The sequence below is a fragment of the Homo sapiens genome, chromosome 9 (assembly GCF_000001405.40).
Source record: "Homo sapiens chromosome 9, GRCh38.p14 Primary Assembly".
Classification (NCBI taxonomy): domain Eukaryota; kingdom Metazoa; phylum Chordata; class Mammalia; order Primates; family Hominidae; genus Homo; species Homo sapiens.
This window is the reverse complement of record NC_000009.12, coordinates 3,240,069-3,252,991: the sequence shown is the minus strand read 5'-3', so window position 1 is coordinate 3,252,991 and position 12,923 is coordinate 3,240,069. Positions and strand designations below refer to the sequence as shown.

Here is a 12,923-nt window from a genome sequence, read left to right as displayed (position 1 = left end):
ACTGTTAATTGTGTCATTTAATACTTGGCATGTAAAGCGGAGGCCTGACACAGAGAGAATAAAGTAGACATAGCGTTAATGATACAATTCAACTGATTCTTTTCTAAACATATGACAATAATTTCATGACATACATGTCAGTATTTTTTAAATAACTAGGTATTATAATTGAGGATCAATAAATTTTTTTTTAAACTTCCAACAGAATTTAGTATTACGTGTGCATTTTATGCTGAAATCAGGTGATTGCCTAACCATCCAAAAGTTTCCAAAACACTCAGAATGAAATCCAAAGGCCTTATCATGGCCTACTAGACCCTACACAGTCCAGCCACTAGAGTCATCCAGACCCTATCAGGTATTCTTCTCTTTGCTCACTGCCTTCCTACCACATTAGCCTCCTGGCTACTCTTTGAAAACAGCAAGCAGTTCTGTCTCAAGCTCTTTCATTTGCTCTCCTTTCTGCCAGGAAGACTCTTCACCTGTGTTCGTTTCCTCACTTCAATCCAGTTTCTGCTCAGATATCACCTCCTCAGAAAGAATTTTCTAGATACCCCAACTTAAAATGCCTGCCCTCATCACTCTCCAATCTCTGGCCCTGATTTATAGGATCTCTTACTCCCTAACTTTATATTTTTTTATCTACTTGTGTATTTACCAACTGTCTCACCTAACAGAACGTGAACTTTTTTGAAACCAAATTTTGTCTGTCTTGTCTGAACCAAGACCCTGCCGCAGAGTAGGAACACAATAAATATCTGCTAAATAAATGTGAATTTTATTGGAAAAAGTTGAATTTGCATTTCTAAAATGATATCAGAAACTACTTGTTATGAACATTCTCCTTAGTTGTTCACATGATTTCAGGGTTATTATATTTTAACAGAAGGCCGAGGTGGGCGGATCACCTGAGGTCGGGAGTTCGACACCAGTCTGACCAACATGGAGAAACCCCGTCTCTACTAAAAATACAAAATTAGCCAGGCGTGGTGGCGCATGTTTGTAATCCCAGCTACTCGGGAGGCTGAGGCAGGAGAATCGCTTGAACCCGGGAGGCAGAGGTTGCGGTGAGCTGAGATTATGCCATTGCACTCCAGCCTGGGCAACAAGAGCGAGACTCCATCTCAAAAACAAAAAAAAGAGAAAGAGAAATAGAAAGGCCTAAAATTTGAACTTAGAAATATATAAAGAAAGACTCATTCTGTATCTGTGATATTTATTCCTGAAAAGATTTATTAACATTCACCTGACTCAGTATTGTTTTTCTGTATTATTATATAATGAATGACATCTTTTAAAATAAATATTTTTATTATGCAGTTAATATATGCTCACATTAGAAAATGTGGTAAATACAGGCCAGGCATGGTGGCTTGCACCTGTAATCCCAGCTATTTGGGGGAGGCTGAGGCAGGAGGATCAGTTGAGTCCAGGAGTTCGAGACCAGCCTGGGCAACATAGTGAGACCCCATCTCTAACAAAATAAAATAATTAGCTGAGCATGGTAGCAAGTGCCTATGGGAGGTGAGGAGCGTAAGATCACTGGAACCCAGGAGTTCAATGCTGCAGTGAACTATAATGGCATCACCACACCCCAGCCTGGACAATACAGCAAGACCCCTGTCTCTAAAAAAAAAAAATAATTAATTTTTTAAAAAGATAATCTAGGAAATACAAAAACTTCTACCCGGAAATTACCACTGGTTAAATGTTTCTTTTTGGGTTAAATAAAATTGGGATCCAGTTGTTTACCATAGGCTATTTAACTATATTTTTCTCTTAACATTTTTTATTTGCAATTATATCTTAAGCATTTCTTGCCATTAAATATCTTCAGAAACATAATGTTTAACGTCCTCATACTATTTCATTATGTTTATGCCTCATACATTATTTAAACATTCCCTTATTCTTGAACATTAAGATGGGTTTTGGTGTTTTGATAGAGTTTTTAAAAATGCTGTTATGATTATCTTCATATACGATTGTACGTATATCTTTGGATAAGTTCAAGTAAAAGGATATAAACATTTAAAGTAACTAATACTAGTTTAATGAAGTGTGTGATCTCAATGCTAATAAAGTATTAGATATTCCAATTCACTTGGGGGTAGGAATTTTTTGATGTATGGAGTGTTTTTATGTAAATGAGCTCATGTATCTTGCTTCAACTTAACGATTATATTATAAACATCTTTGTATGTTACTACTTATGTCTACTTCATTTTTTTAATGATTGCATAAAATTTTATATCTGGATGAGCCATAACTTGTTTAATCAGCATCCTACTAGATTATCTTTTTAATGATATTTACTTTCTTTTCCTAGTTTCTCATTAGTAGAAATATTGTGCTGCAGTTGTGACTATCTTTGGTCAATTGTGTAAATTTCTAGAATTAGATTGCTGGGTCAAAGGTTTTGACCTTTTAAATTTTGACAAATACTGCCAAATTTCCCTCTACAAAAGTTTTATGAATTTATATTCATAGGGACAGTAAAGGAGAGTTTTTCCAAACCAGCTATAACATTGGGTCTTTTAACCTCTGACAGCTTTATAGATTATATAGGGTATCTTACTTTAATTTTCATTTCTTTAATTCCAAGTAAAATTAGTCATGTTTTTGTATGTTTGTTAGGCATTTGTCTTATACTTTAAATTTTTAAAATTTGAAAATTTTAAATACTTGCTATCTTTCTTCAGCAAGATAAATGCAATTAGGAGCAAATATTCTGTTCATGCTTTACTTTAAAAATCATTTATTTCAAGTCTTTGTTAGTATGGGTAAAAACGTTATGTAACATTTTCTTTTTATTTTTGTGTTGTTTTTGCTTTTTTAGTAAGTGATTCACTGCTTTAAAATTTTTTTTACCATAGGAATAGAAATATTTATTTTCATATAACTCTTATATTGTAATCTTATAAATTATTTTTACAAATTGGTGATATGTCACTGAATTTTAGGAAAGACGTGGATAGAGTTATATATAGAATTTTGTCATATATGTTGGCATGCAAATGAAAGTATTCATTTATTTTTAATAATTATTTATAGAGCTGTAAACTTAAGGAATTCGTTAAAGTAGTCAACTCTAAGATATCATTCACTAGACCTACTATTTATGATAATGAATATATTATTAACACTAATGTAGGTAACAGTATAGTTACATTGGCAGTTTTCTTAAGATTTCACATACATTATGTCATTTGACTCTTAGGCTAAACTTTGAACCTTACAAAAAATTATATGATCACAATTGAAATCACATAGTGGTAACCCGGGTCTGTGTAACTTCAAACCCGTGCTTATTCTTATTATTATTATTTTAGTAAATAGATCCACAGAATTGAGAGGTCCTCTGCCATCATCATATAATAATTGCTATTCTTGCCACCATAAATAAATGAGAATGAGAAAGTCAGCTTCTCCTATTCTGTGTATTATAATCACAATCACTTATATTTGAATAGCGTTCTAGTCATCCATAAGTTGATTTCACATCCTTTAACTTATTTTATCCTTGAAATAAGCATGTAAGTTAGATAAGACTAAAGGCAATGTTTTGTTTTCATGCAAGAGGAAAAACATCTCGGGGAAATGATGTTTTTGAGATCAACAGTCAATGAAGAGACAGAATCAGAATTCAAGGCTTCTGTGTTTCAGATGGACAATGATGATCTGTCACTTGCCAAGTTGAATGCATACAATTTGATGTATTAGTAGCCTCTATTTAAACAAGGTTGAAAAATGAAACAGAAAACAAAAGTACAGTCTTTTGTTTTTCCATTTGCCTGATGTCTTATAATTCTTTACTGTAAAACGAGGCATAGGTGAGTTTTTACCTCTTTCTCCTGAGAATACAATGGTTGTTTTAGTGTTCATCTGCCAAAAATCTTTAGAAAAAGGTCAGTAAATGAAAGTGATAAGAAACACACACATACACACACTCACACACACACATCACTCTGATTCTAAATTATGACTATTTTAAGATTTGAAGTGCATGAACAAGCTTAATGATTGGCATGTTGAAGCCAAGATTTTATTTTGGACTCATTTCCATTTTAAATATAATAGAGTTTATTATAAGTATTTTATAAATATTGCTTATATTTTCGTATTATATACTTTAAATGTTTGCATTTTCAAAAATAACGCATTTCTTAATTGATTTTATTGTGCTTATTTCTAATGTAAATGTGCCTTAATTTAAGTGGAAATCATTAAGAAACTGGAAACACTTAATACGTTTGCCTTCCAAGGAAACTTGCTGGAATCCCTGTACGTACTTGCCTATACTCTGTATTGCCACATCTGGGAACATTGCTTATTATATTTTGTGAGCTTTGTCTGGCAGAAATGCATCTTTTTTCTAAGGCCTACCCCAGAGATCGTTATCACTGAGAGGGGACAGACTGCCAACCTTCATCAATAGGATTTTCACTCAAGTTGTTTTTCTTAGGGTAGTAATGAGTGGTCAATCTTTCAGACATTTTTGTGTTCAATTCTGATTTATTTGTGAGTTTGGTAGAAGCAGCAGACTTGCCCATGATAGTAGAATGACTTTTTCCATTAAGACTATCTATCTTGAATAAGGATCAAGTCTCCGTGAGGATTACCTCTTTATCATTCTATTTAAATGAGTTGCAACTGCGTTCAATAATGAAATGCTTTCATGGCAGGTTTTATACTATACCAACCATATAGACTCCCAGCTTGACTTTTTTTTAAGAGGAAAAATAGGTAGAATGCTAATTCTTGTCACTAATGTTAGCTGCATATTTGTCTTTTCTCTTGGAACAGCTCAATGGTTATTCGGGACTTAACCTTACGCAGTGCTGCTAGCTTTGGCTCCTTCCACCTGATCCGTCTACTCTACGACGAATATATGTTTTACTTAGTAGAACATCGTGTTGCTCAGGCAACAGGAGAGACTCCTATAGCAGTCATGGGCGAGGTAAGAGAGGCTGAAAGAGCTGTGACCCACTGGGTTATTAAAAATAAGCCAGAATTACACTTCAGTCTAAATACATTATTGATTAAAACCATGGTTCCTAACCAAGTCAGCCTCAGAGCCAGGAGGGACTGTGGAGTTATTGCAAGAGTTCCTTAAATTCCTCTGTTCTTATGTGCTTAATCAAAAGATTCTAAAATTGTGGATTATATCATGTGAAAGTTCATGGAATGTGTCTCTATATTATACAGGTACCTATGTAAAAGAAAAACTTGAGAACCACTGGAATATGAAAAATATTTTAAGTGGGAAAAAGATTGGTGCTCCTGATAAAGCAAAGGGCTGGGAATACAATGGAAAGGATTAAATATGTATTTTGTAGACTCTTTCCCGGTCTCCAAGAACAAAGTAAATGATTCTATTTTAGAAGGATAAAAATGGTAATGATGATAACTAACATTTTTTGGACACTTACTATGTGCGAGGCACAGTTCTATGTTTTTTACATGTAATAAAGCACTTAATGCAAGTCTTTGAGATACGTTCTACTTTATTCTGTTTTACAATAAGCATCCGAGGTTTATGCAGAAAGCTAAGGCACAGAAAGGTTAAATGATTACTCAGCTAAAAAATGGTAGAGATTTTTTTTTCAAACACAGTCTGATTTTCAAACCCATATGCTTCTAACCACTAATGATGTAAGGGGGAAAATTCTCTTCTTCAGAATTTCTGAATAGTCATCAAAATGGCTTATCAAAAAGCTTAAACTCTGAATATAACAAGGGCTGGTTAATATAATGAGGAATAGATGCAAATGCTCAGATGGTTCAGCACTGGCTTATTTTGTTATATTGAATGCAGGAGGCGGGGGTAGTTTATACCTTGTCGAATCATACCAGATTATTAAATGTGACAAATTACCCAAGGCGGTAAAAAAGACATGTTCACTTTTAAGCTATGTGTATGTGCTTATATAAATAAAAAAGAGTGAAAACAGATATTATTCAATGCTTTTCCTAGTTTAATATAATAAGGTATAAATAAAAATACATTAAAATACTTCAAGGACCTCCCTAATATTCTAGTATAAATAAAATGCATGTCAAACTTGCCTAGAAGGTCAGTTGAAATATTCATCTTTTCCACTTCTTTAAAACCCCTTGCTGTATATCCATCTAAATGTCTTTGTATGATGTTCCCTGTTGATGATAAAGCTTAAATGATGCCAAATATATGTGTGAGATTAAGCAGGAATCACTGTGGCTTTTCATTGTAAGCAGGACCTCATGTGACCAAAACAATCTGGACTTTTCTTATATTTGACTTCCCCTCATTGCCTCTTTCTTTACTTGTTTTATAGATGCCTTGTTGGAAAATGCCCAGGTAGCACGTGGACTCAGTACTCTAAAATTTCTTAACTCAGGGTTCAAGACTTCAGAAATGGACCTTGCCTTTTAGTATACTTAACACATTTGCCACTACCTCATATGCTCAAGGACTTCTTTAACAAGATAAATAGGATAATGATGGCGGGGATTCTCATTAACACCATGTGGCTAATCTTGATGCATGGCCTTTGCTTTCCTTGCATCTCTAGGGAACAAAGGCAGTGGATGTGAGCCAGTCACACAGTGTGAAGGCTTAGCAACCTCCTGGTATGCTTGCACAGGCGGCACCAGAATTAAAATGGGCTACATAATCTATAGTGCCAACTCCATTCTAATAGTTATTCTTTTTTTTTTTACTACATGTAAACGATCTAAATGAATATGACAGATTTTACATGAGGCAAAGATATATACGTAAAATCTAAATTTAAAAAATGGTCAAAGATCTAATCATACTTCTTGATTTCTTTGCTTACTCAGTTTATAGGAAAGCCCTTTGACCTGCCTATGCTCATCCATTATTTACCCCAAAAGGCAAATTCAGACTAATTTTATAGGTTTGATCTCCTCATACAACACTGATGCCTCATACACCTGTTTGCTCTCATAGATCTATTGGCCATGGTCATACTATCATATCTAAAATTTCTTGATTTGGGGAAAAGGAGAAGGAAATTCAAAAAATAAAAAGTTTGTTTTCTCATGTTCTCCTCACATTATCCTAAGCCTACCTTCTCTTGGTCCCTTGGGTGACTTCCTTTTCCAATCACCAAATCCAGACGTGCCTGTGTACATAGTGGGAGTAACACATCAGGCCAAAATCCATTGAAATCCATACAAATCACCATAACTCCCAGTCACAGCAAATGGTTTGGAATAATGAGTAATAATAGCAACCACAAAGACAATAACAATTGTCACTATTTACTGAGAGCATATTATATACTTAATGAAGATAATAGTCTTGCTGTATCAACTAATGGCTCTTTCTCAGTAAATGGCGCCACGATCCTCCCAGTTGATTATACCAGACACGTGAGCATTCTTTTTTTATGTCCTTCTATCTTGACTCCCATCTACAACCAATTACCAAGTTCTGTTTCTCAAATCCCTCAGAGTGCAGTCAGTATCGTCTTGTGAAAATGCAAAGCTGACTGTGTCATCCCCCACTTGAAACCCTTCAGTGACTTTCCCTTGTGTTACTAACATGAGCTCTTGCATGATCTGGCCCTGCCCCTCTGATCAACATCAGCCTCCCACTTCCTACTCTTTCTGTTGCAATCACAGTGGCCTTTTCTCTGTTCTCATTCACTAAGGTTTTCTCATCCTTGGACTACTGCATAAATGGTTCTTTCTACCTGGAAGCCTCTGCCCATCTCCCCATGCCCATTCTAACTCCTACTTCATGTTGTAAAAATCAGTTTCTCAGGGAGACTCAGTTACTCCAGAATACCTTAAACAGTTCAAGTCTTTCTGATATGTACTTTTACTTGTCATTCTAGAAGCTCCACAATACTAATTGCACAGTTCTCTGTTTGATTTGTATAGTCAAAGATGTAATACCTGGAAACAATAAAGGACTTTGAGTCAGAAGTGAATTCTACTTCTAGCTCTGTCATGGCTATTAGTATAATCTTGGGCAAATCATGTTGACTTGTGTTGAACTCTAGACTTCTGATCTCCGAAACTGATTTATCATTTATTAACAAGTTTTTATTGTGCAGATACTCTATGCCAAAGCTATCATGATTGGAATATAATGATGAAAAAAATGGATTTTTACCCAGCCTTCGAGGAGCTTAGATTTCAAGTGGGGGATACATATTTACATAGTCACATAACTATAGCTACAAACTTTGTTAAGTGCTTTGAAGGAAAATTAAAGGGATATAAGAATGCTTAAAGCTTGAGGCCCTAAATCTAGCCTGGGAGGACCAGGGAAGTCTTTCCCAAGGAAGTGATGTTTGAGGTAAGAACTAAAGGACAAAAGATGTTAACTCTGTGAAGAGAGAATCTGAAGGTAAGGGGTGAAAAACACCCCAGGCACAGGGGAATGTGCACAGGCCCTGACAGAGGTGGGTGAGAGCACAGCCAAGGGGAAGTTTTCCTGAGAAACCTAACGTTCAAGCACCAGGGAGACCAAATAAACACTGTCAAATGCAACAGACAAGAGGAAAAATTGAATTAGGATAAAAAGTCAAAATTTCAAGTGAAGCTAACACCTACATAGCAGTTGTGTGCCAGGTACAGTTCGAAGTGCCATATATATATGTTAATAACTCACCACAGATCTATAAGTGGATACTATTATTACACCTGTGTTACAAATGATGAAATAAGAGGCCGGGCTTGGTGGCTCACACCTGTAATCCCAGCACTTTGGGAGGACAAGGCGGGTGGATCACCTGAGGTCAGGAGTTTGAGACCAGCCTAACCAATATGGTGAAACCCTGTCTCTACTAAAAATACAAAAAAAATTAGGCGGGCGTGGTGGCATGTGCCTGTAGTCCCAGCTACTCGGGAGGCTGAGACCAGGAGAATTGCTTGAACCCAGGAGGTGGAGGTTGCAGTGAGACAAGGTCACGCCACTGCACTCCAGCCTGGGCGACAAAGCGGGACTCCATCTCAAAAAAAAAAAATAATAAAAATAGAAAAAAAGAAGAAGAAATGAGACACAGAACCAAAAAGTAACTTGCCCAAGGTCACACAACCACTAAATTGTGAAATCAGGTTCTGAAACCACGCAGTCTGGCACCAAAGTCCTTGCTGTTAATCTGCCATGCTTATGACCTGCTACAGATTGGAGTAGGATTGGAGTAGGAACAATTTCAAGGGCAAACCTGCAAAATAGTCACAAACTTTGCTGGGTATTTGTTTTGCCTTTACAGGTGCTTGCTTTGGAAAAGGTGTCAGTTAAATAGTTTCATAAGCAAGCAAAAAGACTTTCCTTTTAAGGTGACTTAAGAACAATGAATGTATCTTTTCAATAATGTGAACTCAGTTTTACTGAGTTTTAAAATTAACATTACTTACATTATTTGAGCAGGCAGGCAGGAAAGAACAACCCGTTTTACATATAAACAAGATATATACAAGCATACAAACTATTACTTTTAAATTGACTTTAATGCTGTCATTTCAATGTTATAAATGTTGTTGGTGTTTTGAAATAAAGACTGCTATACAATGGACTCCCCTAAGCTGGAAACAGCTTCACAGTCCCAAGAAGTTTTCCTGTAAATGTCAGTATGCTACTACATTAATACTGCCTAGTAAATTATTTAAAGCATATGCAATTCTAGAGTTTTTTTTTTTTGCCTAAATGATAAAAAGGAAACAATTTATTTATTGCTAAAATTTATATAATTTTTAAATTTTCATTTAAATATTATAAATTTGTCCACAAGCTTTCTGGCAGTGGTGAAATTTTAAGAGTAAGAATAAAATAAAATAAATGAGTTGCATCTGTTTACATACCTGTTAAATAAACAATTTTAAAAATCATAAAGCTTTCCATACAACTCTGACCAGACAAATTGAGCAGAAAAATGTCCTTTTATTCAAATGTTATGGCTGTTTAGAATCTTTCTGCTTTATCTCTTTAAAACATACATAGTCCATTAATATATTCACTGAATCTTTGAAATTTTGATTGCTTCATAAAATGATTTTGTTACAAACCTTTTAATAATCTATTAAATATATCAATTCTTTTAATCATAATTTAATTATACTTAATATTATGTCTAAGCCACCTCTTTAGCCATTTTCAAATAAAGAGAAACCAGTAGAGTCTTTAAGTGTTCAATTGCGAATATCAATATAGAAAAGATAATATTTCAGTAATAGAGAAAAATTTAACCTGTAACAATTTAACATCAAAAGAAAAATGTCTTGGATTCATCAAAATTGATATACTCAGTTAATTTTTTTGGAAGGAAAAAAATCTTCAAAACCTAGAAACTGAAGAAGAGCAATAATAATTGAACATGTAAGCTTTTGGGATAAAAGCTCAGTGAAAGAATTCCATTTGGTGGAAGTAGAATTACATTCATAGTAAACAAATATTGGTGCTTAAAGTAAAATCAAACCAAAGAAAAACAAATTTTAGCAAGCATTGTGCTAGTGTGACTAGGGAATACACTTTAAATGTGCCTGTTGAACAATAGACTTGTTACAACAGTATTTTAAAAGCAAAGAATATTATCACAAGTCGAGATAGTTTGCAGGAAAAAAAAAAACAATCATGGAAGAGTAGTGGCTTAGAAAATGTAAGGAATACTTGTCAAAAATTATACTGTTGATTGTTATTTAGAGTGAAGCTTATTATTTACTATATTAGTATTTTTCCAATTGAGGGCAGGCCTTGTGCCAATCCCTATTCTAGATGTCTTACATTCTTATTTGATACTGATTGAAACCTTGCAAAAGATGTCTCAGTATCCCTATTTCACCAGTGAGGAAAAGAGAAATTGAAAGTTGCCCCAAATCAAAACTAGCAAGTGGTAGAACTAACTTTAGAAAGTAGGACTGCCTCACTTCAAATAGTCAAATGGGATGGGCTTAATCTATCTTTCAGTTTTTCACCATATAAATTATTATAGTTTCAAAATAGGGATTATGTGCAACTCCCCCAAACACACAAACACATAGACACACATTTTCTCTCTGACAATCACAAGCCAGGTGCCTAGCTTAAAAGTTTTTATTACTTTGTTTCAGAGTTTTTTTTCCTCTGCCTTACAGGATGCCTCTTAATACGCTTGCCATCTTTTCCCCTTGCACTTTTTGTTAGTAGATATTTAGAATATGAAAACTAAATGGAATATTAGTCTAAGCAAATTGCATTTGGAAAACTAAATCTGCCGGAAAAGAACAAATTACACCCTACAGCTCCTGTACACCCATCCTGAGACCAGACCTAAATCAAACATTTTTTTAAAGAAGTCGTAGTTTGGTTTTAGTTGTAAATCTGCTCATCTACATTAGCACAATTTCTGACAACTTGAAAATAAATTATAGAAGTGACCCCAAAGTTCCAGAGAATTGGCTCCGTGTCCCATTTTTTCTTCCTTGTTCCTGGTTTGTCATTCTGTTCATTTCTCTTCTTGGATTTGAGAAAGGAATCTGTTGACTCAGCAGCCCAGGGCTGCGGTTCTTTCTCTCTGGGATCCCTGCTCATTAGCTTCCTATGCGTGGCTTTCTTCCCTGCTGGCTCTGGGCTATAACCTCTCCTCTCATCCTCTTCAGGGAATGGAGAAAATTTGCTTATAACTGTGATCTAAACATAATCATGCAATAGGTACCCTAAAAATACTCAAGGAAGGAAGTACAAAGGACAGACTACCAATTGATAGGACGTCTTCTTGGATTTCATGATTGATACATTAGATTTCTTTACTCTGGGCAAAAAAAAAAAAAACAAAAAACTCCTAGACCAAAAAGTGTACCTTCTCCTTAGAAAGTGCCTGTCAATACTATTTCAGAGAAATACTATGAAGTTGGACTTTTGTGGGTGCTTACGACAGCAATTTCCCTAAAGAGCTTAGAAGTGGGGAAATAAACCAAAATAGAAGTTGAAGACTTTTTAAAATATTTCAAGGACTAAAATGGTCACTGTAGACATCAGGAAAGAAATCTCAGCACACAGTCCTCTTCAGCAAAGTCCACCGCTAAGTTATTTGTTTAGTAAAGAGTTTGTCAGGTAGCACTGCAGCTATTTGGGCAGACCCAACCAGAGAAAAAGATTCCCTGGCATAGAGTAAGCATGACGGTGCCACCTACTGGCCACTTTGCCACACTCTGTCATCCTGTGCCTAGCCCAAGTGGCTCTTGGCTTTGACACTGTCTTTATGGTGGTTTTGCTCTCAACCACAGGTGAAGATAGTGGTTGCTGGCCCCCCTGATAAATAAATAACTCTTGTTTGGGATAGGCAAATTCCTAAACTCACAGGAATTGTTTTCTTTCTTTATACCATCCTTGTATAAAATATACTACCATAAAATGTCATAAAAATTAGAGATTCTCTGCAAGAATATGGGCCTTATGTGATGATAATACAAGCACTTCAAACCTGATTGATGCTTGTTGTGAAGGTTTTCTTAGTACAAAGGGAACATGTTTCTACACTGCCACTCTGATTGTCTCTCCAGTTAATGATTTCCAGAAAAGAGAAGTGGTATAATCAAAATTAAGATATAGTCCTCTGATAGAATAAATTAATGCTATGCTTTCCTATTAAATAATATAGGTGTTTTCAAGGGGAGCCAGTGTTAAATTAGGAGCAAGGTTCGTTCTATTTCCCCAATAGTTTTACTTGCATAAAGGATATGCTGCCTGGCCCAACCCTGCAATTTACAGGGCCCAGGATACCATGTGTCTAAATATTTTAAAAGTTATGAATCAGACTATAAATAAAATCTGTTCTATCCACCTACCTTGACAAATATGTCTTGATAACAACTTGGAAGGCTGAGTTTGGATTTGAAATTCTGTCTCCCCTGAGTTCCATACCAGAAAATATTGACATAGACATAGCCAGCCCGTGTCGCCAGCCTCTGGCCCTAGACTGCTTCAT

At 35.2% G+C, this 12,923-nt stretch overlaps 1 protein-coding gene across 32 annotated transcripts in view; it reads left to right on the top strand.

The window, feature by feature from the left end:
- The window catches only part of RFX3 (regulatory factor X3), a 307,705-nt gene that overhangs the window by 273,010 nt on the left and 21,772 nt on the right, over positions 1-12,923 (top strand). For 31 of the 32 annotated variants that reach the window (XM_047423701.1, XM_047423699.1, NM_001282116.2 and 28 more), the window contains one exon: positions 4,807-4,960. In XM_047423701.1, the coding sequence (XP_047279657.1) occupies positions 4,807-4,960 (154 nt within the window). Of the gene's footprint in view, positions 1-4,806; positions 9,004-12,923 lie in introns of those variants that run through there. The other variant, NM_002919.4, reaches the window with a different exon arrangement.